At 39.4% G+C, this 22,087-nt stretch overlaps 1 protein-coding gene and 1 long non-coding RNA gene across 59 annotated transcripts in view; one reads left to right on the forward strand and one right to left on the reverse strand.

The window, feature by feature from the left end:
• The window catches only part of SLMAP (sarcolemma associated protein), a 173,705-nt gene that overhangs the window by 146,274 nt on the left and 5,344 nt on the right, over window positions 1-22,087 (forward strand). For 30 of the 54 annotated variants that reach the window (XM_005265456.5, XM_005265462.5, XM_005265459.5 and 27 more), the window contains 6 exons: window positions 5,302-5,424; window positions 6,494-6,568; window positions 9,799-10,119; window positions 10,576-10,693; window positions 14,324-14,495; window positions 20,307-20,441. In XM_005265456.5, the coding sequence (XP_005265513.1) occupies window positions 5,302-5,424; window positions 6,494-6,568; window positions 9,799-10,119; window positions 10,576-10,693; window positions 14,324-14,495; window positions 20,307-20,441 (944 nt within the window). Of the gene's footprint in view, window positions 1-5,301; window positions 5,425-6,472; window positions 6,569-9,556; window positions 10,120-10,575; window positions 11,031-14,323; window positions 15,901-20,306; window positions 20,442-22,087 lie in introns of those variants that run through there. The other 24 variants (NR_165328.1, XM_005265468.5, XM_017007159.3 and 21 more) reach the window with 6 other exon arrangements.
• Window positions 1,177-17,566, reverse strand: LOC105377103 (uncharacterized). 5 transcript variants are annotated; one of them, XR_007095924.1, is made up of 6 exons: window positions 17,296-17,566; window positions 14,602-14,694; window positions 9,305-9,339; window positions 3,385-3,465; window positions 3,021-3,160; window positions 1,177-1,837 (listed from the first exon to the last, which is right to left on the reverse strand). It is a non-coding gene; the product is annotated as an uncharacterized LOC105377103 (long non-coding RNA). The 5 variants fall into 5 exon arrangements; XR_007095925.1 differs by lacking the exon at window positions 9,305-9,339 and having other exon boundaries at window positions 3,021-3,097; XR_940867.3 differs by lacking the exon at window positions 9,305-9,339.

Genomic DNA, 22,087 nt, shown 5'->3' on the forward strand with positions numbered 1-22,087 from the left:
GGGTAATTACTGTGGAAATTTCAGATAGCAAAAACCACTTGGGGCCTTGGTAATCTTATCTAGAATCCATTGGCCTGAGACATTAAATATGGGAGAGAGATGGAAGTCAGCTATGACTCCAGCATTTGACCCTGAGTGACTGAAAATTTAGAAATATTTATTTCTGGAAGAAAAGGTGTCCTGGTGGTAGCTGTGATGGTTTTAATTTGGCACATGCTAAACAGGAAGAGTGACCATGGGTTTGCCTGGAACCATTTATGGCTATTGTCCCAGCATAATTATCGTCAAAAGTGCTCTCTTTCATATTCAAAGCTGTCCCAATTTTATACGGTCACCCTAGGAACTGGAGATGCAGCTGGATGTGCAGAACAGAAACTAGAACCAACAAATCATTTTCATTTATTTCTCAGATGTTTTATTGACCTGAGAGATACAGAGATAAGATACACAAGAAGGCTATAGACAGAAGATAGGAACTAGGTTTGGAAATTCTTTGCACAGGGGTGAACAGTGGTAGCAGAGGGAGTTTCTAGTGAAAGAAAAGAACAATGGTGAAAGTAAAAGAGCCAAAAAGATCCAGCTGTTGAGAAGGAAGCTGGCAGTTCAGAAAGAGTGGCAAAGGGGTAAGAATTGACAATAAGAGGCTGCTACCTTAAGCTATTTGACATGGCCACACGTACCCACAATGGAAAGATGATCTTCCTGCATTGTGAAGGTTGTTCTCATCAACCAAGCCTGCAATGACTAGACATTCTAAAGAGAAGAGTGATGGCAATGGAAAGAGGACACATCCACTTGCCAGGTCACTTCTATCAGTTGATGACATGCCATATGTTATGGCTAGGTCAGCTTTCCACAAGTATGCACATGCAAAATAGAACTTGGGAAAAAAATCTTTGATTTGGCCCTTTACCAAGTGGATCAGTGTGTCAGAGTTCAGTTGAGCAAAGGTCAGAGTTTAAGTTGAATCTCCAGTCACTCTTTTGAAGATATTTGGTGATGCCAAATTTAATTTAGGATATTATGTAGGTAAGTATTCTGTCAGTTCATTTATAGTGTGAATTTACAGGATTTAGCCTTAGTCCGAGAAAAACTGGCCCCTGGCCCAGACTATACACCAGGCAGTTCTAAACATATACAATTCATGTTAAGGAAAAAACAGATTTACAACTTACATTACTCCTAAATAACATTTATTTCCATGTGACTTGCATGTCTAAATAAAATGAATTTGGCTTAGTAAGGCTTTCATTTATCTTCATCTAAACGCTTTTCCACCAGTACTCATCACAAGACTCCCCAAGGTTATGAAGCAGATTGATATAGAAACTCCATTTCTAGGACAAAAACGAGGCACCTTGAGAATGGACCCAAGCCATAATAAACTAGTAATGCATTTTCCCACACAACCATATAAAATACAGTGAGCCCTTGATCAACCTTTGCACAAAAAGAATTGCTCATTAAGTCTTTGATTTTTTAAAAAATGGCACTTGGTTTTCTAGAAAGAGGATCTGCACACTAACTATTCGATTTGTTTGAATATAGTCAGATTATTATGTCTGTGTTTATTAGGCTTAATTTGAAAAGATTTTTGGTTAGTATCTCCACTTCTATGATCAAACACTATAGAGTTCAAGACCAGCCTGGGCAACATAGTGAGACCCTGTGTCTACCAAAAAACTACAAATCTTAGCCAGGCACAGAGGTACATGCCTGTAGTCTGAGCCATTCTTGAGGCTGAGGTGTGAGAATCGCTTGAGCCCAGGAGGTAGAGCCTGCAGTGAGTAGACATTGTGACACTGCGCTCCAGCCTGGCCAACAGAGCAGACCCTGTCTTGAAACAAAAGAAAACAAAACAAAGAATCAGTTGCAGACATGATAGCCTTTATGCTTAAATACCTCAGTATACATTTCTTATTTATCTTATGTAACTACCATACAATTCTCAAAATTAAGAAATTAACATGGGTACATTACTATTCTCAAATCCAAATACCTGTTCACATTTTGACAGTTGTCTCAGTAATGTTCTTTATGACATGGCCCAGCATGGTAGCTCATACCTGTAATCCCAGCACTTTGGGAGGCCGAGGATCACTTAAGCCCAGGAGTTCGAGTTTATCTCCCAGGGGACATTTGGCAATATCTGGAGACATTTTAGTTGTTGTAAACTGGGGTGTGGGCCAGGGTGGAGGAGGGGTACTGAATCTAGTCGATAGAGACCAGGAAAACTACTAAACATTCTACAATTCATAGGGTAGTCCCACAGCAAAGAATTTATTCAGCCCTGGTGCAACATAGCAAGACCCCATCTCTACAAAAAATTAAAAATTTTGCTGGGCATGGTGGCACGTGCCTGCAGTCCCAGCTACTCAGGAGGCTGAGGAAGGGGGATAGCTTGAGCCCAGGAGGTCAATTAAGGCTGCAGTGAACTGTGATGGCACAACTGCACTCTAGCCTGGGCAACAGAGCAAGACCCTGTCTCAAAAAAAGAGAAACCAAGATCTAAATGTTTGGTGTCCTCATGGCTACTGGTGTATAATTGCTTCTAGGCCCACTCAGTGGACAGACTTAAGAAGTGTGTGTGTGGTTCTGTGTGTATGCAGTTGCACACATATCTATATTTATTTCTATATATTTCTCTATATCTCCAAATCTATTCGAGTTCATACCCTACACCAGAGGATTAATCCTTTTTTTTCTTTTTCTTTTTTGATACAGAGTCTCACTCTGTTGCCCAGGCTGGAGTGCAGTGGCATGATCTCGGCTCACTGCAGCCTTGGCCTCCTGGGTTCAAGCGATTCTCCTGCCTCAGCCTCCCAAGTAGCTGGGACTACAGGTGTGCATCACCAAACCCAGTTAATTTTCGTATTTTTAGTAGAGACGGGTTTTACCATGTTGCCTAGGTGGGTTTTGAACTCCTGACCTCAAGAGATCTGTCTGCCTTGGCTTCCCAAAGTACTGGTATTACAGGTGTGAGCCACTGTGCCCGGCCCAGGGGATTAATTCTATCTTACCTGTTTTCATATCTGTAATTTTCTTCTTCAACAGTGAGAAAAGTGGCTTCATTTATCTGCAACGTATTTATTTGAGCCTTTTTAGAATACACAGAAAGTTGTTTCAGAATTAATAGCCAGTGCTTTTGTAGAAAAGAAACCTGTGTATAAAATTTTTTTTGATTATCAAATTATTAACATACAGCAATAGTCCTCAACACAGGACATTTTACCTCCCAGGGGACATTTGGCAATATCTGACCAGGAAAACTACCAAACATCCTACAATTCATAGGGTAGCCCCACAGCAAAGAATTTATTCAGCCCAAAATGTCAGTAGTGCTGAGGTTGAAAAACTCGATCACAGAGCAAGGAAAATACCTACTCAAGGAATTAATGTCGATGTTTTTGTCAAACCACTTGAATGTAAGATGCAAGCATCATGATGCTTCTCTTCTAAATACTCCTTAAAAAAAAAAAAAAAAAAAAAGAGCATTATCCTATATAATGACAAATCCAGAAACAGGGGCCAGGACCTTTGCAGACTCCAGTGGATAGTGTTGAAAGAGCTGTGAGAGAAGTTTTGTAGCTAATGCAACAGTGTTTCTGCCACTGGAAAAATCTCTCTCTCTACATGCCCCTTCCCTGGCCCAAAGACCTTTTGAAGGAAGAATTGATAAGTTGACTAGAGTAGCTGAACCCAGAATCAAATTTTTTTCTTTTTTTTTCTTTTTTTTTTTTTTTTTTTTTTAGAGACACAGTCACTCTCTGTCGCCCAGGCTGGAGTGCAGTGGCGCGATCTTGGCTCATTGCCACCTCTGCCTCCCAGGTTCAAGCAATTCTCGTGCCTCAGCCTCCTGAGTAGCTGGGATTACAGGCGCGCACCACCACGCCCAGCTAATTTTTAGTATTTTTAGTAGAGACGGGGTTTCCACATGTTGCCCAGGCTGGTCTCAAACTCCTGACCTCAAGTGATCTGCCTGCCTCAGCCTCCCAGAGTGCTAGGATTACAGGCATGAACCACCGCGCCTAGGCCAGAATACAATTTTTCTAGAGAGAAAAATAGGATATAATCTATGAATATGAAAAAAAAATATATATATATATATATATATATATAATTTCCAAAACCTATTGTAATTGTATTGTGAAAGTTATTCTTAGCTCTTTTTTGATGAATTGAAGTTATTATGCTGAGGTACTTATAAACCAAGGTGATACTCAAATAGAATTCATTAGAACAATATGGCTTACCTGATGATATATTTATTTCAGGCAGTGTTCAGTAGCAGAAGGTTTTAAAAAATTAAAAAGCAGAATGATTGGAGAGGAAGGAGTTTAGGGGAAGGGGCATATTTGAAATAGAATGCTGGATTTAATTTATTTCGGTAAAACCACTTAGGTTACATCATTTAATATATTCAGCAGATTTTTGTTGTTGTTGCGGTTTTTTTTTTTCTTTTTGATACAGAGTCTCACTCTGTTGCCCAGGCTGGAGCGCAGTGGCGCGATCTCGGCTCACTGCAACGTCTGCCTCTTGTGTTCAAGCAGTTCTCCTGCCTCAGCCTCCCAAGTAGCTGGGACTACTGGCACCTGCCACCACGCCTGGCTAATTTTTTGTGTTTTTAGTAGAGACGGGGTTTCACCGTATTAGCCAGGATGGTCTCGATCTCCTGACCTCGTGATCCGCCTGCCTCAGCCTCCCAAAGTGCTGGGATTACAGGCATGAGCCACCACGCCCAGCTCAGATATTTGTTATATGTGCGTGTTGGGGAAATGATGATGACAAAGTAGGCTCAGTAGAGCTTTCAGCCTAGTTTTTATTTTGTGTTCCACAACTAGGGTAATTGTGCTAAAATTTAGCTGTTACTTGAAGAAAAGTTTCTTTTTGTTTTCCATATCCAGTTAAGTTCCAAGTGAAATTTTTCTGACTGGTTATCAAGAAATTTCAAAATTGATGAAGAAGTATAGCATTTTGCTCATCTCACTGAATTTCAAGTCTTAATAAGCAATGAGTTATAATCTGTCACTGTCTGTTTATTTTGATGCTAGAATTGTGAATATATAATTTATGTTAATATATTTTTATAATGTCATCACCATGATTACTAATATATATAACTGTATTTGTATTTTCTCCCAACTACTAAAATGCTTACTATAATTTGCTTCTAAGTTTTATTTAACTCAGTTGTTCTATGTTGTTTATGCATGTGCAAACATGAGAGAGATTACCAGTCTTTTATTGTAGATTATAGTGTGATACTAACTCTTGCTTTTAAAATAAACATGTTTTTGTCAGATGACTTGCAGGGTGCACAGTCAGAAATTGAGGCAAAGCAAGAAATACAGCATCTTCGAAAGGAATTGATCGAAGCCCAGGAGCTAGCTAGAACAAGTAAACAAAAATGCTTTGAACTTCAAGGTGAGATCAAGATTACTTTGGTTCTTTAGGGATGTGTGGAGGCAGCACAATATAATTGGGTGGCCCCAAACTTGGAGTCCGGAGGCATGTTCCAGATTCACAACTTTATGAGATATGTGATCTTGGTATATTTACTTGACCTCTCTAAACTTGTGTTTCAGGTCAGTAAAATGAGGAGAGTTACAGTTGCTCTACCTTCACACTGTTGATGTGAAAATCAAGTAAGATCTTTACTAACTGAAAGATCTTAATAGTTAATTGCATATTAAGTACAACAGAAGGAAAACTCAAATTTCTAAATTTTTATTATGCCTAATGTTAGCTAATGTCCTGGCCACATTCTTTTCTAGTAGCTCACTTATCTATAGGTCATAAGCCAGTGGAGTCTGTGCAGTTCCCTAGAGCTTACATTTCTGTATCATTCATAGTAACTACCTGGTTGCAGACAATTAGTATCTCAAAGAGTCTTAAAATGAGAAAGGGAATGACTTCTGGAGCCCTCATGTTCTCCAAGATGGCCTTCCTGCCTAGTAGGAAGATTTACATCCCAGGAGGGAACTAGGAACTTCTTGTTACTACTTCTTTCCTTTCCTAATTCTCAAAGAAATTAGAATTGGTATTCACTTAACTTGAACCTTTTGGAGGATCCAGGCTAATATATTAAATTACAATGAAAAAATATTTGGTAAATAGCAATTATTTAGTTTAGTGTTTACTATGTGCTTGACAGTAAATATAAGAATTTTAAGTCTTTTTAAAAAATTAAGTTCAAAATGCTGATTAACAATTATCAAGACTGTTTCTCATGTTAAGAAAAGCACATATTGTCTTGGTGATACCAGGTCCAGAAAACTCCACTACTCAGTTGAATAGATTTATTACTTACTACAGTTCTGTGCTCCTAAAATCTTTAAACTAACTGCTAATACTGATAATACTTACTGCCTAACTTTTGTTTCTTTCAATAATCTTTTAGGAGAGAATTTTAAAAGAAATTTTCAGCTGCTCAACTCTGAGTACTTTCATTAATTCACAAAACTATTAATAGATACTGTGTTTTTACTTTTAGCTCTTTTGGAAGAAGAAAGAAAAGCCTATCGAAATCAAGTTGAGGAATCCACTAAACAAATACAGGTTCTTCAAGGTATGGAAGACCCCAAGGCTCTTTGAGATTGTTATTGTGTGTTTGTTTTTAGTGATTCAAAAGGAATGGAGGCCAGGCGCAGTGGCTCATGCCTGCAATCCCAGCATTTGGGAGGCCGAGAAGGGTGGATCTCCTGAGGTCAGGAATTCGAGAGCAGTGTGGCCAACATGGTGAACCCCTGTCTCCACTAAAAATACAAAAATTAGCTGGGCATGGTGGTGCATGCCTGTAATCCCAGCTTCTCGGGAGGCTGAGGCAGGAGAATTGCTTGAACCTGGGAGGTGGAGGTTTCAGTGAGCTGGGATTGCACCACTGCACTCCAGCCTGGGTGACAGAGCAAGACTCCATCTCAGAAAAAAAAAAAAAAATGAAATGGAAAGTAAGAAGGCAGAGAGTCCCCATTTTTCATGGCTTTGATTCTCTAGAACCTCACATTTCAACACGGCTCTTGGTGGAGCTTTATTTATTTATTTGTTTTTGAGACAGAGTTTCGCTCTTGTTGCCCAGGCTGGAGTACAATGGCGCGGTCTCACCTTACTGCAACCTCCGCCTCCCAGGTTCAAGCAATTCTCCTGCCTCAGCCTCCTGAGTAGCTGGGATTACAGGCATGCGCCACCACACCCAGCTAATTTTGTATTTTTAGTAGAGATGGGGTTTCTCCATGTTGGTCAGGCTGATCTCAAACTCCCAACCTCAGGTGATCCACCAATCTTGGCCTCCCAAAGTGCTGGGATTACAGGTGTGAGCCACTGCGCCTGGCCTATTTTTTTTTTTTTTTTAAAGAAAATTCAAGGGAAGATTGTCCAGTACTCTCGTATTAGACACTTAGAATGGAAAAAGCAGAGGTGAAGATTTGGAGTTGGTAAGACTGTCACTTTCTGAGTTATGTCGTGAGTTCCTACAGAGGGCCTTTGGATAGGAAATCTGTTTGAGCTACTCTGCGTCAGCACTTTGAGCTTGCTGGTATATGTATATATTGATGGCTGGTGTAGATATATTGCCATCTAATGCTCAGAACACACTTGTATTGCAAGAAAATATTTTTTTGCTTGTTTTTTTGAGACATAGTCTTGCTCTGTTGCCCAGGCTGGAGTGCAGTGGTGATCTTGGCTCACTACAACCTCCGTCTCCCGAGTTCAAGTGATTCTGGAGCCTCCCAAGTAGCTGGGACTACAGGTGCATGCCACCATGCCCAGCTAATTTTTGTATTTTTAGCAGAGATGGGGTTTCACTATATTGGCCAGGCTGGTCTCAAACTCCTGACCTCGTGATCCACCCACCTTGGCCTCCCAAAGTGCAGAGATTACAGGCATGAGCCACTGCACCTGGCCTCAAGAAAAATTATATATCACGTGGAATAGGATAGTAGTCTCTGCACTGATTTTCGTTGATAATGGCTGTTCTTCTTATCACCATTTTGCTATTTCTTTGTCTGGGCTATTACAGGGTTATTACAGAAATTTCCAGAAAGACCCCTGCCTGTCGAATGTTTACTTCAAGCTTGAGCTCCTGGTATATTATGAGGAAATTATATGATACCCCAGGAGAGGTCTTCCTTTCCCATGCCATTGTAAAATTCCTAAAGTAAAATTAATTTGCCTTCTTGTCAAAGAAGGAGCCAATGTTGTTTTAAAATTTTAGCTTGAGAGATAGGTGGGGAAGAAATTAAATAGACAAGTAATCACTATTCAGAAGAGAAGGGAGAGTCATTGTACGAGGCCCAAGATACTTGCCCAAAAATATCGCAGAGAAAAACTAGTCTTTGGGGTCCTATTTTTTGAGTGGAACATTTGAGTTATTTAAAATTAGAATTTTATTTTGGTCAGATTAGAATTTCTAGGGTATGTCATATGTGTTTTTAAATTGAAAGCTCTTAAAACTCCTATTGTAGTTTAATGTCATTATCCATTAATTTACATAAATCTGATTTGGATCTCTATTTTCATCGTAGACTGTGTAGGGGCAATTTTTCCTAAAGGTTCTGTGACATAGTGCTACCTTTTTTTTAAAACCTGTCTTGCCCAGGCATTATTGAGTGCCCCCTGGTGCCAGCATGTGTATTTCACGACTGTATCAACAAATCATGATCATCTTCTCTGGCCATTGTGCCCTTTCAGATTCCAAACTTGTTACCTCTCAGTCCTTCCTACAAACTTAGAAAGTCTAATATCTTAATGTTTACTTATGTAGCAACCTCCCTTTCTCCCATCCCTAAATCCTCTTGTAATTAATTATTTTCCTTTGGAACTTTTTAAATCTACAATTTCCTTATAATATGGTAACCAATATTAATTTTCTTGTTCTGCGCCAAGTTTGATTTTATACAAATTGTTTCCAGTTTGGGTCATGAGCACAAAACCAGGTATTTTTAAAAATCTATATAACCCTTCAATGAGGCAGTATTAATTTTATTAACTCATTAATTCAACCAATAATTCTTGATTGTTTACTGTGTTAGATATTGGGGTATCCCCAATACCTGACAGCTGTGAGCAAAACAAATGCCCTACACACATGAGGTGTACAGTCCAGTAGAAAAGATAAACAATAAGCAAATTAATAGATAATATGATGTCCAATAAGGACTTCAAAGGAAAATAAAGCAGAGTAAAGAGCCAGAGAATGACAGTGAGCTGTTTTTCACATGAGTCATCAGAAAAGGCCTCTTTAAAGAATTGACATTTGAACAGAAAAACGAATCAAGGGCGTCAACTGTTTATTGCTTTTATTGCTTACCATTTGACCAAGCAATTCTACACATAGGATTCACCCTAAAAAAAAAAAAAAAAAAAAAAAAAAGGATTGTATATAGTGTTTAAACACTGAACAGCCTAAAATGTCAAAAATAAAGGGTTGGGCAAATAAGTTATATATACTATAACTATTTTTTTGTTGAAAGAGTTTCATCAACAGAAGGATAGGGAACACTGCATTTATTGTGATCACTCCCTATTTAATGTTTGTTTTTACATGTTTATAAATGCATAGGAAAAAATCCAGAAGGAATATCAGAAGTAATTTTCTGTGTGTTGGGGAGATGAAGATCACTTTGGTTTTTTTTTCCTCTTTGCTATCTGTATTTTGACGCTTTCTGCATCAAACGTGGATTGTTTATACACTTTAATCAAAAGCAACAGCTCTGACAACCCAGGTTATGCATTAGCTACAATCCTGTATGGATTATTCTTTTATTCTAATGGGCCAAGAAAATGATGGATATACTTTTGCAGCCCAATTGCAGAGGTTACACATCGATACTGAGAATCTCCGGGAGGAGAAGGACAGTGAAATCACAAGTACTAGAGATGAATTGCTTAGTGCCCGAGATGAAATTTTGCTCCTTCATCAAGCAGCAGCAAAGGTTGCCTCTGAGCGGGACACTGACATTGCTTCTTTACAAGAAGAGCTTAAGAAGGTGAGAGCTGAGCTTGAGCGGTGGCGGAAAGCAGCGTCTGAATATGAGAAAGAAATCACAAGTCTGCAAAACAGTTTTCAGCTTAGATGTCAACAGTGTGAGGACCAGCAGAGAGAAGAAGCAACAAGGTTGCAAGGTGAATAAATGTATTTTACATAAAGCTGTTAACTTTTGACAATGATAACTTCTTAACTTGTTTAAAAAAGAAACATGCAGGCTTTTTTTTTCTTTGTTAGCTATCAGTTGTATAAACCAATGTTTTTAAATCGGAGCTAAAAATGTATTTTCAGGTCTGCAAGTTCTACTTAAATTTATATTTTTTTACGGTTTTATATTTTATTTTAAAATTGTTAAAAATTGCTTGTCTTATAAAAGTGAAGTGGAAAAAAATACTATTGTTCAAGTACAAGCTGATAGCAGTCCTTGAGGTATACATGCAAAGTAACAGGAATCATATAATTAACCATGTAAAATCTACTTGCTTTTAAGGGGGCAAAAAGTATGTTCTCCTCTGAAATCTTTTCCTTTATCCTTTGAAGTATTATGGAAGTTATATTTCTGTATTAACAAATATGTTTTGGGACTATTTTAGGTGAACTAGAGAAGTTGAGAAAGGAATGGAATGCATTGGAAACCGAATGCCATTCTCTAAAAAGGGAAAATGTTTTGCTATCATCAGAACTGCAACGGCAAGAAAAAGAATTGCACAAGTATGCAAGAACTCTCTGTTTTTCAGATATAAAATATTTCTTTATCTTAAATTTTCATCTAAATTAAATTTAATTTTAATACTTAAATATTTTACAGGAGCAAATGTTCAGCCCATCTCTGTTTGGCTATTTGGCAGGTTAACCATACTGAATAAATACTTCAGCTTTTTTTTTTCCTGCCACCACCATTATCCTACATGTCCTTTCCTTGTACTCATGGAATACAGATTCATTAAATGTCCCAAAGAAACCCTGAACAAACAACAAAAGTCTGTAATTCATAGTTGAACTTGCCCTGTAAACTAATAAATTTCAAATATCAACTGCTTTTCTTTCACACCAGTGATCTCTTCTTTTAGTAAACGTGATCAGGAAGTGACTATAATGAAGAATTTGTAAGGCTGGGCGTGGTGGTTCACGCCTGTAATGCCATCACTTTGGGAGGCTGAGGTGGGAGGATCGCTTGAGCCTGAGAGTCCAAGATCAGCCTGGACAATGTGGCAAAACCCTGTCTCTACAAAAAAATACAAAAATTTACCGGGCATAGTGATGTGTGCTTGTAGTCTTGGCTACTTGGAAGGCTGAGGTGGGAGAATTGCTTGGGCCCAGGAGGTCAAGGCTGCAGTGAGCCACGATCATGCCACTGCACTCCAACCTGGGTGACAGAGCCAAACCCTATATCAAACAAACCAAAAAAAAAAATGGAATTTGTGCTACTGAAAGATATAAATTAATCTTCTGAATTTCAAATAGGGTTGTATGAAGGGTAATAATATATAAGACCAATAATTCTCTGAAACCAGTTAAATCTTTCTAGTATCTAATACTTGACAAGCAAATCAGTGAATGCATTAGATTTATTCCAGCAAATTTAATGAAGTCCTATTTTACCACCACAGTTTGCCATATTTAAGTTTAAAATGGGTTTATTCCGGCCGGGTGTGGACATTATGAAACAACATCTCTACAAAAAATACAACAAATTAGCCTGGCCTGTAGTCCCAGCTACTCAGGAGGCTGAGGTGAGAGGATCACTTGAGCCTAGGAGGTGGGGACTGCAATAAGCCATGATCACACCACTGTAGTCTAGCCTGGGCAACAGAGCCAGTCCCATGTCTCAAGAAAACATGAATAAAAATAAAAACAAATGTTTTACATTGTTTATAAGATGTAAAAAACTTTGTAAAAGCAATTCCAAAATAGGAATGGGACAAAATAAAGGTCAAAACTATAAATATATGTATATGATATATATCATATATGAAATACATATGAGATCTATACATATCTCATATATAGCTATATACATAAATTTTTTTTTTTTGAGACGGAGTTTTGCTCTTGTGGCCCAGGCTAGAGATCAGTGGCGCGATCTCAGCTCATCACAACCTCCACCCCCTGGGGTCAATCGATTCTCCTGCCTCAGCCTCCTGAGTAACTTGGATTACAGACATGTGCCACCATGCCCACCTAATTTTGTATTTTTAGTAGAGACGGGGTTTCTCCATGTTGGTTAGGCTGTTCTCAAACTCCTGACCTCAGGTGATCTGCCCATCTTGGCCTCCCAAAGTGCTGGGATTACAGGCATGAGCCACTGCACTCAACTCATAATTTTTTTTTTTTTTTTTGAGGCAGAGTCACATTCAGTTGCCCAGGCTGGAGTGCAGTGGCATGATCTCGGCTCACTGCAGCCTCCGCCTCCCAGGTTCAAGCGATTCTGCTGCCTCAGCCTCCTAAGTAGCTGGGATTATAGGTGTGTGCCACCATGCCTGGCTAATTTTTGTATTTCTAGTAGAGAGGGGGTTTCACCATGTTGATCAGGCTGGTCTCAAACTCCTGACCTTGGCCTCCCTAAGTGCTGGGATTACAGGCGTAAGCCACTGCCCTCGGCCGAAAGTATTGATATTTTAATGATTCAGGCTAGATCCCTTATTTTTAAGATGTGATTAATTGGAATCTGGCAGATTCTTAAATACTGTTTTCAATTATTTCAAATTTTAAGTGTTGGGAAGCAAGCCTACAAACTCCTAGTGAGTAGAAGCACATGGTTTAAAAATATTAGGCCCCAGAAAGGGGCCTATAAGTCATTGGTCAGATCATCTGCCTAAACTCACATAAAGTATTTAAGACAGATTAATTCTTTTTCTTAAACTTTTCTGATGCCCTAAATTTGCTTGATAAGCCTCCCCAGCATTTAAGTAGTATTTAGAAGCTAGTCTTCCTTTACAGGGTCTTATGTGCCATTTAATTCCTAGCTGTATTGGCTTGACAACATCAGACCCACCCCAAAGAATCTGTGAAGTGTACAATCAAAATGGGATTCAGACTCTGTAGTAGTTCAATTACCATAGTGAGTCTGAGTCTTGAATGATCCATTCTGAAAGATGTAAAACTGTCACCTTGAAAACCTTATACTCCTTTAGCTATTTATGGGAGCCAAATTCCCTAACACAGCTATACTGTACAGACCTTTTATTTTCTGTTGTCTGGGCTACGGAAGAAGGAATTGAAGAAGGAATTTCTGTTCACACATATCAAGCTGTTCTCCACATATGTTGTAAGTCAGATTTTTTTTAACATCCAGTTATAAAAGTGATCATAGAGACTGTGGTGGCTCACACCTGTAATTCCAGCACTTTGGGAGGCCGAAGCAGGCAGATCACCTGAGGTCAGAAGTTCAACACCAGCCTGACCAACGTGGAGAAACCTCGTCACTACTAAAAATATAAAATGAGCCAGGCATGGTGGCGCATGCCTGTAATCCCAGCTACTCAGAAGGCTAAGGCAGGAGAATCACTTGAACCCGGGAGGCAGAGGTTGCAGTGAGCCGAGATCACACCATTGCACTCCAGCCTGGGCAACAAGAGCGAAACTCTGTCTCAAAAAAAAAAAAAAGTGATCATAGAATTTATTAACCTTGGGAACAGCCTCAGAAGTTAATGAATTCAATCCTGTTATTTGGCAGTGAAGGGCACTGAGACTCTGCTTGTGTTAGTTATGTCTGTATTACGTGGTATCTGGTATAGGTCTAAGAGCTGAGGAAGTGTTTACTCTGAAAATGAAATGTACCAGTTAAGTGACTTGCTTAATATCCCCCAGCTAAATAGTGGCAGAGCTAGGGGTCTAGAACTCAGCCTCCTACTTCTTTGTCTTATGCTCTTTTCTCAATTTGGTGTGTCTTCTCATTTGAACAGGTTTATCTTTACTTGAATTGACAGTGACTCCTAAGCTTTAAGTTTCTGACCCCCATTCTATTTGTCAAGTATTTAAACTTAAAAGAAATTGTTGAAACATGTGTGTTCTTTTCCTGTAGAAGACCTACACTGAGTCTTTTCATGATGAAATTAATACAATTTGATACAACAAAATATACAGTTAATTACCTCCTATTTCTGTTTTTAAAATTTCAACCTTTGTGTATATTTGATGGGACACACCTTTAAACTTGCATTTTTTTAGTGTTTTGATGGTTTTTGCTTATTGAATGAAAATATTTCATTCTTTTTTATACTTTTCTTTTTTTCTCTGAAATCCACTCTATCCCTTCTAGTGAAATGTATAAGAAACTGGACTTCCTTCTGTGTCCAGTTTCTACCTGTGAATAACTATCTGTCAATATTTATATTGCAGTTCTCAGAAGCAGAGTTTAGAGCTTACCAGTGATCTCAGCATCCTTCAAATGTCTAGGAAAGAACTTGAGAATCAAGTGGGATCCTTGAAAGAACAGCATCTTCGGGATTCAGCTGATTTAAAAACTCTTCTCAGTAAGGCAGAAAACCAAGCAAAGGATGTGCAGAAAGAGGTAAAGCGAAAAGACATTATGAGCCCAATTATGGTTGGACTTAAAGCCAAAAGCAAATCGGATATCCATGCTAGTTAGAAATAAAGGGAAGCAGAAGTCACATTACCTGTCACAAAATTGATACTTGGAACATCTCTGCTTGGTGATTTCTAGCTGCATATCATGGTCCATATGTAGAGAATTCTTCAGTAGGGTTGGTCTCAAAAATATAATATACAAAACTACATTTTAATTTTTCTCTACCAGTTACTTATATGAGAAATCCTTTGTACCAGGTCTCTTGATCTATTGTTTAACTTTCAAAGAGAGTATCGTATGTAACTTAGCATACTTTTGGAAAGCAAACTGAGGCCATACTCTAATGCTGTCTGAACCCCTCAGGTAAATATGGCCTGAAAAGTTACTTAAAATTCACCTCATAGCCAGGCAGCCAGCCAAACACATGTTCTGTGGCCTTTTACTTTCTTCCTCCCACCCCCTTTTCACCTTATTCATAAATGTGCATGCTCACTTTTCATGTCATTCTGCTTAAAACCTTGAGTTGAGTGGCTTTTTAAAAATTTGTGTTGAAGTCATAACAGTTGATTTTGGAACAGAAACCCTACCCAGTTTCTTCCTGAGCAAGAGAGGTGCATTTCACTTCCCAAAGCCTTGAAGTTGACAGCAGGGCAGTAAGAGCTGTCTTCAGTCCTGCTGGCCTCATACCACTCCCTGCATTGACTCCTGGCCAGCTCGGGGAATGGAGAAGCCTGATACAACTTGATCTACAGATTAGGGACCACCCCAGTTGTAGACTTTCTTAAAAGGATTCTTTATGAATTAGAAGGAAGTTGAAGACAACTCTTTGTCTTTAATAATGAACTTTCCCAAAGTTGTTTCTAGAAGATCTGCTTAATCAATGCAGTTTTTCTTTGCACTTTTCTTTCCTTGTAGTGTCCTGAATTTGGCAATGATTGTTCTTCTGTCTTCATGTTTGTTCCTAATGAAAAAATACTGTAACATTTTTTATTTTCTTGCGGACATACTGATTTTGTGATGTGTTCGTTTTTACCTTACTAAAGATATGTGTTTTAGAAGAAATCTCATTTTATTTGGTTGGAACACAAATTTTGTGCCAAAGTAAATATCTTAGTATTTAATACTGTAAGCACTTTGTGTCCTTCCAGTCCATATGCCATAATTCTTTCAAACTCTGGGAAGAATGCTGTGGTTGGAAGATTATTCTGTTGTATGTTACTATGAACGCATTAGTCATTTTGTTGCATTACTTGTTTGCCTGTTTTTGGTCACTGAGTAATCGGTGCAAGATGCTTTAACTGTTTCCACAAATGGCAGTGGCATGTTGTCACAGCATCTAAATTGTTGATAGTCTTGGATTGCATTAAATGCAGCACATTTAAAAATATGTCTGATCTTGTCAGTATGTTTCTTTTCTATTTTCTTGTTCACTGTTTTCCATTGTGAAATGATGTGTAGTCATCACACTCCTTTGTAATGTGAAATTGCTCTCTTTCTGTTTGTCCAGATGTTAACATGTTGGATACTATATACTATAGTTTAGTTATAGCTATATACTATAACTAAAATGTTCTTTAATGAGGTTCTTATCTCTGTGTAATCCACTGCAAATGAATTATTGCCTTTTATTGATGCACATATATTCCCCTTCAGCATTTCCCCTTTGTTCTCCTCTCTGTCATAGAATCATGCTTAATATGCACAGTGTCTAATTATGTATTTTCAGCACTGTAACAGACTAAAATATTACAAGCTAAGCAAGCCCACATATGATTCTTTTTATGAAGAAGAACCAAAGGTGTTGGTAATATTGTGTGGTATTTCCCTCTTAATCAGGACCAAGCTCATTTGTCACCTCAGAGTTAGAAAGCAAGATGGAGCAAAAATGATAGCCAAGCAAGGCTGCAATAGGTCACCTTTGTTGCACAAATTAAAATTTATATATGTGGCAGCTTTTATGTGAATATTTAACAAAGAAAAAGTACATGCAAAAAGTAAATCTTGGCTGGGCGCCGTGGCTCACGCCTGTAATCCCAGCACTTTTAGAGGCCAAGGCGGGCAGCTCACCTGAGGTCAGGAGTTCAAGCCCAGCCTGACCAATATGATGAAACCCCGTCTATACTAAAAATACAAAAATTAGCCAGGCATGATGGCATGCGCCTGTAATCCCAGCTACTCAGGAGGCTGAGACAGGAGAATCGCTTGAACCCGGGAGGCGGAGGTTGTGGTGAGCTGAGATCAGGCCATTGCACTCCAGCCTGGGCAACAAGAGCAAAACTCCATCTCAGAAAAAAAAAAAAGTAAATCTTAATCCTCAGTATTAAAAGAAAATAATGATATATCATCTTTATATTTGACTTTAGAAAGCATCACTATATTTTAATTTAGTAGGAATATCTGTAATTTAAGAATTTATAGGCCAGGTGCAGTGGCTCACTCCTGTAATCCCATCATTTTGGGAGGCCGAGGTGAGCAGATCACCTGAGGTCGGCAGTTCGAGACCAGCCTGATCAACATGGAGAAACCCCGTCTCTAATAAAAATACAAAATTAGCCAGGCATGGTGGCGCATGCCTGTAATCCCAGTTACTTGGGAGGCTGAGGCAGGAGAATCGCTTTGAACCCGGGAAGTGGAGGTTGTGGTAAGCCAAGATCGCACCATTGCACTCCAGCCTAGGCAACAAGAGCGAAACTCCATCTCAAAAAAAAAAAAAAAATTCCTAAAACATTGAGCACACAGTCCACCCTGCAAAGACTGACTCAAGAAAGTTACTTGGCTTTACCTTCTTGCCGTGGGGCCAGAGTCCTTGCCACCCCCTCACGTACTGGAGGTAAGCAACAGGATCCCCCTGGTTGAGCTGCCTTCCTGTGGTTCTGCTTCACAACTCCTGCAATGGAGAAATAAGTGCTTTGGTGCACAGGGCAGACTAGATGTAAGAATGGTGGAAAAGGAAAGTAAGGGAAAACTTGTCAACAAAGTACTCTTTACTTATTCTTTATTAGTCCCTGTTAAGAATCAGATCATGGGTCATTGAGAATTTATTATGTTCCAATTTGCAGAAACTAGTGTAGGTACAATGACTTTGCCTTGGCAGTATGCCAGTAATCTTCTGCCTTCTGGAAGGAAGTCCACAGATCTTCACATCAACTGAAAAAAGCTATCATAAAGTCCATGAATTGTACTCCTTTATTTCATTCTCTGGCATACTATCCAGGCTTGTTGTGGGAATGTTGTTAGGTAACAGGGAGTTTCTTTCATATTTTACCTCCCTCTCTGTACCTATATCTTTCTTCTCTTTTTCTGGTGACCTCTGTGTTGACCCTAAGCCCCATCTCTCCTGTCTAATGTTTTTATACATTTATATTCCTTCTTAATATTTATCTTTCTTGAGCATGATGATGGGCTCCTGATAAGTCATTCCAAGGTGTTTACATTTTTCAGAAGCACCTTTATAAAGGTTTCCTTTATTGAAGAATTTCTAGGATATAAGTAGAGAGGAACTGGAAACTTTCTACCCTCATAAGCTACATTTAGGGACAAGGAGGAACCTTTCTGGTATACGTTACCTATGGTATATCTATTTTATATTCAATCCTTGTCTATCTTCCTTCTAAAACCTTCAGAGATGGCAGAATAGGGCCGGGTGCGGTGGCTCACACCTGTAATCCCAGCACTTTGGGAGGCCGAGGTGGGTGGATCACTCAAGGTCAGGAGTTCGAGACCAGCCTGACCAACAAGGTGAAACCCCATCTGTACTAAAAATACAAAAAAATTAGCCAGGCATGGTGGTGCATGCCTATAATCCCAGCTACATGGAGGGCTAAGGCACAAGAATCCCTTGAACCCAAGAGGAGGAGGTTGCAGTGAGCCAAGATCACGCCACTGCACTCCAGCCTGGGTGACAGAGTGAGACTCAGTCTAAAAAAAAAAAAGAGGGATGGCAGAGTGGGGTAGTGGAAGTGGAGACAAAGGCACAGCCAGTAGCAGAACAATCTCTGTTCTTTGACTGTGAGCCCAGTTTGCGTGTAAGATGCTGTATCTAGAAGTGGAACCAGTCTAGAATTTCAGCCTCCAGGCACCATTTAAAGTAGGGGTAAGCCATACTATGTTTCACATTGGTCTCACCTTTAAAAGGCAGATGGTCTTTAAAAAGATGTGACTCTATCTGAAAGTCAAAGTATATACAGTGAATTGTTTTCCAGAACAGAAAATGACAAGTTTTGCTATTTAAAAATTTCTACTAGAAACAGGCGGGGCACGGTGGCTCATGCCTGTCATCCCAGCACTTTGGGAGGCTGAAGCAGGTGGATCACCCTAGGCCAGGAGTTCAAGACCATCCTGGCCAACATGGTGAAACTCCATTTCTACTAAAAGTACAAAACATACCAGATGTGGCAGCAGGTGCCCGTAATCGCAGCTACTCAGGAGGCTGAAGCAGGAGAATCACTTGAACCTGGGAGGCGGAGGTTTCAGTGAGCTGAGATTGCACCACTCCACTCCAGCCTGGGTGACAGAGCTAGACTCCGTCTCAAAAAATAAACAAATAAAATAAAAATAAAATTTCTACCGAAAACAGAATTTTTAAAATGACTTAGTTGATAACCTAAGTTTTTTTGTTTTGTTTTTTGAGATGGAGTTTTGCTTTTGTTGCCTAGGCTAGAGTGCAGTGGTGCAACATCAGCTCACTGCAACTTCCACCTCCCGGGTTCAAGCGATTCTCCTGCCGCAGCCTCCCAAGTAGCTGGGATTACAGGCATGCACAACCATGCCTGGCTAATTTTGTATTTTTAGTAGAGGTGGGGTTTTGCCATGTTGGCCAGGCTGGTCTCAAACTCCTGACCTCAGGTGATCCGCCCACCTTGGCCTCCCAAAGTGCTGGGATTACAGGTGTGAGCCACCGTGCCCAGCCAATGCCTGTTTTAAGTGGAGAAATAGAAATTTCCCAATCATAGTGGTCGGTACTTCAGATACATTTCTTTGCTTCATTTGCCTAGAAAATTCACTTATCCAGAACACTTTAATACCCAGTAATGCTGGGTAAAGGGAAACCTATTGGGAATTAATACTTTTTACTTCAAGACTAAAATAGCTTGGCTGACACTCCTTACTAGGATATAAACTCAGGCTTCCTAACATTGGCTATGGAATTTTTCTTCACCTACTTTTCTTTTGCTCAGTTTGAAATTTTCCTTTTCTCCTGTAACTCACTTGGTGGAAAAGTGATCCTTTATATTAAAAACAGATGACAAAATGGTGATTACTCTTAATTTTTTTTAACTCCAGGGCCAGAAAATTCTTACATGGAATAAAGTCAACATTAAAGGCTTTTCTTTTTTTTTTTTTTTTTTTGAGACGGAGTCTCCCTCTGTCACCCAGGCTGGAGTGCACAGTGGCATGATCTTGGCTCACTGCAACCTCTGCCTCCCGGGTTCAAGCGATTTTCCTGTCTCAGCCTCCCGAGTAGCTGGGATTACAGGCATGCACCACCACGCCCAGCTAATTTTTGTATTTTTAGTAGAGATGGGGTTTCTTCATGTTGGTCAGGCTAATCTCGAACTCCTGACCTCGTGATCTGCCCGCCTTGGCCTCCCAAAGTGCTGGGATTACAGGCGTGAGCCACTGCGCCCGGCCAAAAGACTTCTTATGAGTGCAAGTTATTCCTCCTTAAACAAAAAGACTTGACTTTGGTGTTCCAGGTGACTAAATAGGATCTGGCGTATAAACCTGATTAGAACCATAACATCATACCCATTTTAAGTTGTATCTGCACACTTTTTTTTTCTTTGCCTTTAGTATGAAAAGACACAGACTGTACTCTCAGAACTGAAGTTGAAGTTTGAAATGACTGAGCAGGAAAAGCAGTCAATCACAGATGAGCTCAAACAGTGTAAAAACAACCTGAAGCTGCTCCGAGAGAAAGGAAATAATGTAAGTCTTTGCAAACTTGGCTTAGCTTTGATTGAGAGGCACATGAGAGATTGAAATTGATTTTCAGAGGACTTTATCACTGATTTGTGAAGCAAATGGTACAGATGAAATAGGCTTTTCATTATGAAATTCCATGATAGAATCATTGTGCTGTCAGATTTTTGAGTAAGAATTTGTACCTTTAACCTATACTCCTAGAAGAGCCTCAGGACTGCCTGGAGGAAGAGCCTTGTTTGCAATAAAGCAGCTTGCTTAAGAACTGTCAGCTTTTCCCAGATGAGTCTGAAGCTCTGTCACTAAGCTATCATCTGGCTCTTGTTTCTCCCCTGCTGGGAAATGAAGCATTGTACCACCAGGGATCCATTTAAGAGAGAGTAGTACATGTTGTTCTTATACCAATAATGTTCTCACTGAGGCACAATTTCTAAAAAGCTTAATGTCTCTTTGTCATTCTGTAAATATTAGAAAATATTTGGTGAGTTTCTGTAGGGCTGTGAGAGAGAGAGATGAACATTTTGGTATAAATTGAGTTTAATTTTTTTGTTTTTCATTTGCTAGAAAGACAGATGGTCTTTAAAAAGATGTTATACTAAATAAATGTTGTGTTGTACGTTTTGGTGATCGTTACCTTTGTGGGCCCTGATAGATGTTTAGTGTGGTTGGTTGTGCTCTGACTTATTTAAAACCACTGTCATGGCTTGGACACTGCAGTGTGCGTGAGCCACATACTTCCTATGGAGGAAGCCACTTCGCTTACCTTGCAGCACAAGTACAAAAGAGTGATGTTGCATGGCCATCGTGTTACTCATTTGCACACAGAATGCTCATGAGTTGTGTCCAACTGTCCTTTGCTAAAGAAAGTCTTAGTTTGTAGACAGTAAAGTCTTGCTGCTTAGGTAGAAGCCTTTTAGAAGTTGATGAACTGGGTGTGGAGGCTTTATGCTAAGGAAAAATGGTTTGCATTTACTTTTCAAAATGTAGATTACATAACTCTTCTAAAATCAGATCATAATGGTTTGGTTACTTCTCTTTTGTGTTAATTCATATCCCTGGGATTATGGAATTTCAGTCTACTGCTAAATTAACCCATGAAGACATCTAGCATAATCAGAATGGATCTCCCCATACTATTTAGAACCTTTTCAAAAGTAACTTTGCTATTATTATTTATAGCTACCATTCACCTTAGGGGTGAATTTCCTTTTTTTGTGATATTGCACCTATGGTATTAAAATATTACTCTGTAATAACACTCATTGTAGCAGTTTTCTTTCCATTTTAAAAATTAATTGTATTCTGGTAACATGATTGAAAGCCCTGAGACTCAGCTGCCTTTTTTTTTTCTTTTTTCTCTTTTTTTTTGAGACGGAGTTTTGCTCTTGTTGCCCAGGCTGGAGTGCAGTGGCATGATCTCAGCTCACCGCAACATCCACCTCCCGGGTTCAAGCAGTTCTCCTGCCTTAGCCTCCTGAGTAGCTGGGATTACAGCATGTGCCACCACACCTGGCTAATTTTGTATTTTTAGTAGAGATGGGGTTTCTCCATGTTGGTCAGGCTGGTCTTGAACTCCCAACCTCAGGTGATCTGCCTGCCTTGGCCTCCCAAAGTGCTGGGATTACAGGTGTGAGCCACCGTGTCCAGCTCTG

The sequence above is a fragment of the Homo sapiens genome, chromosome 3 (genome assembly GCF_000001405.40).
Source record: "Homo sapiens chromosome 3, GRCh38.p14 Primary Assembly".
Taxonomy (NCBI): domain Eukaryota; kingdom Metazoa; phylum Chordata; class Mammalia; order Primates; family Hominidae; genus Homo; species Homo sapiens.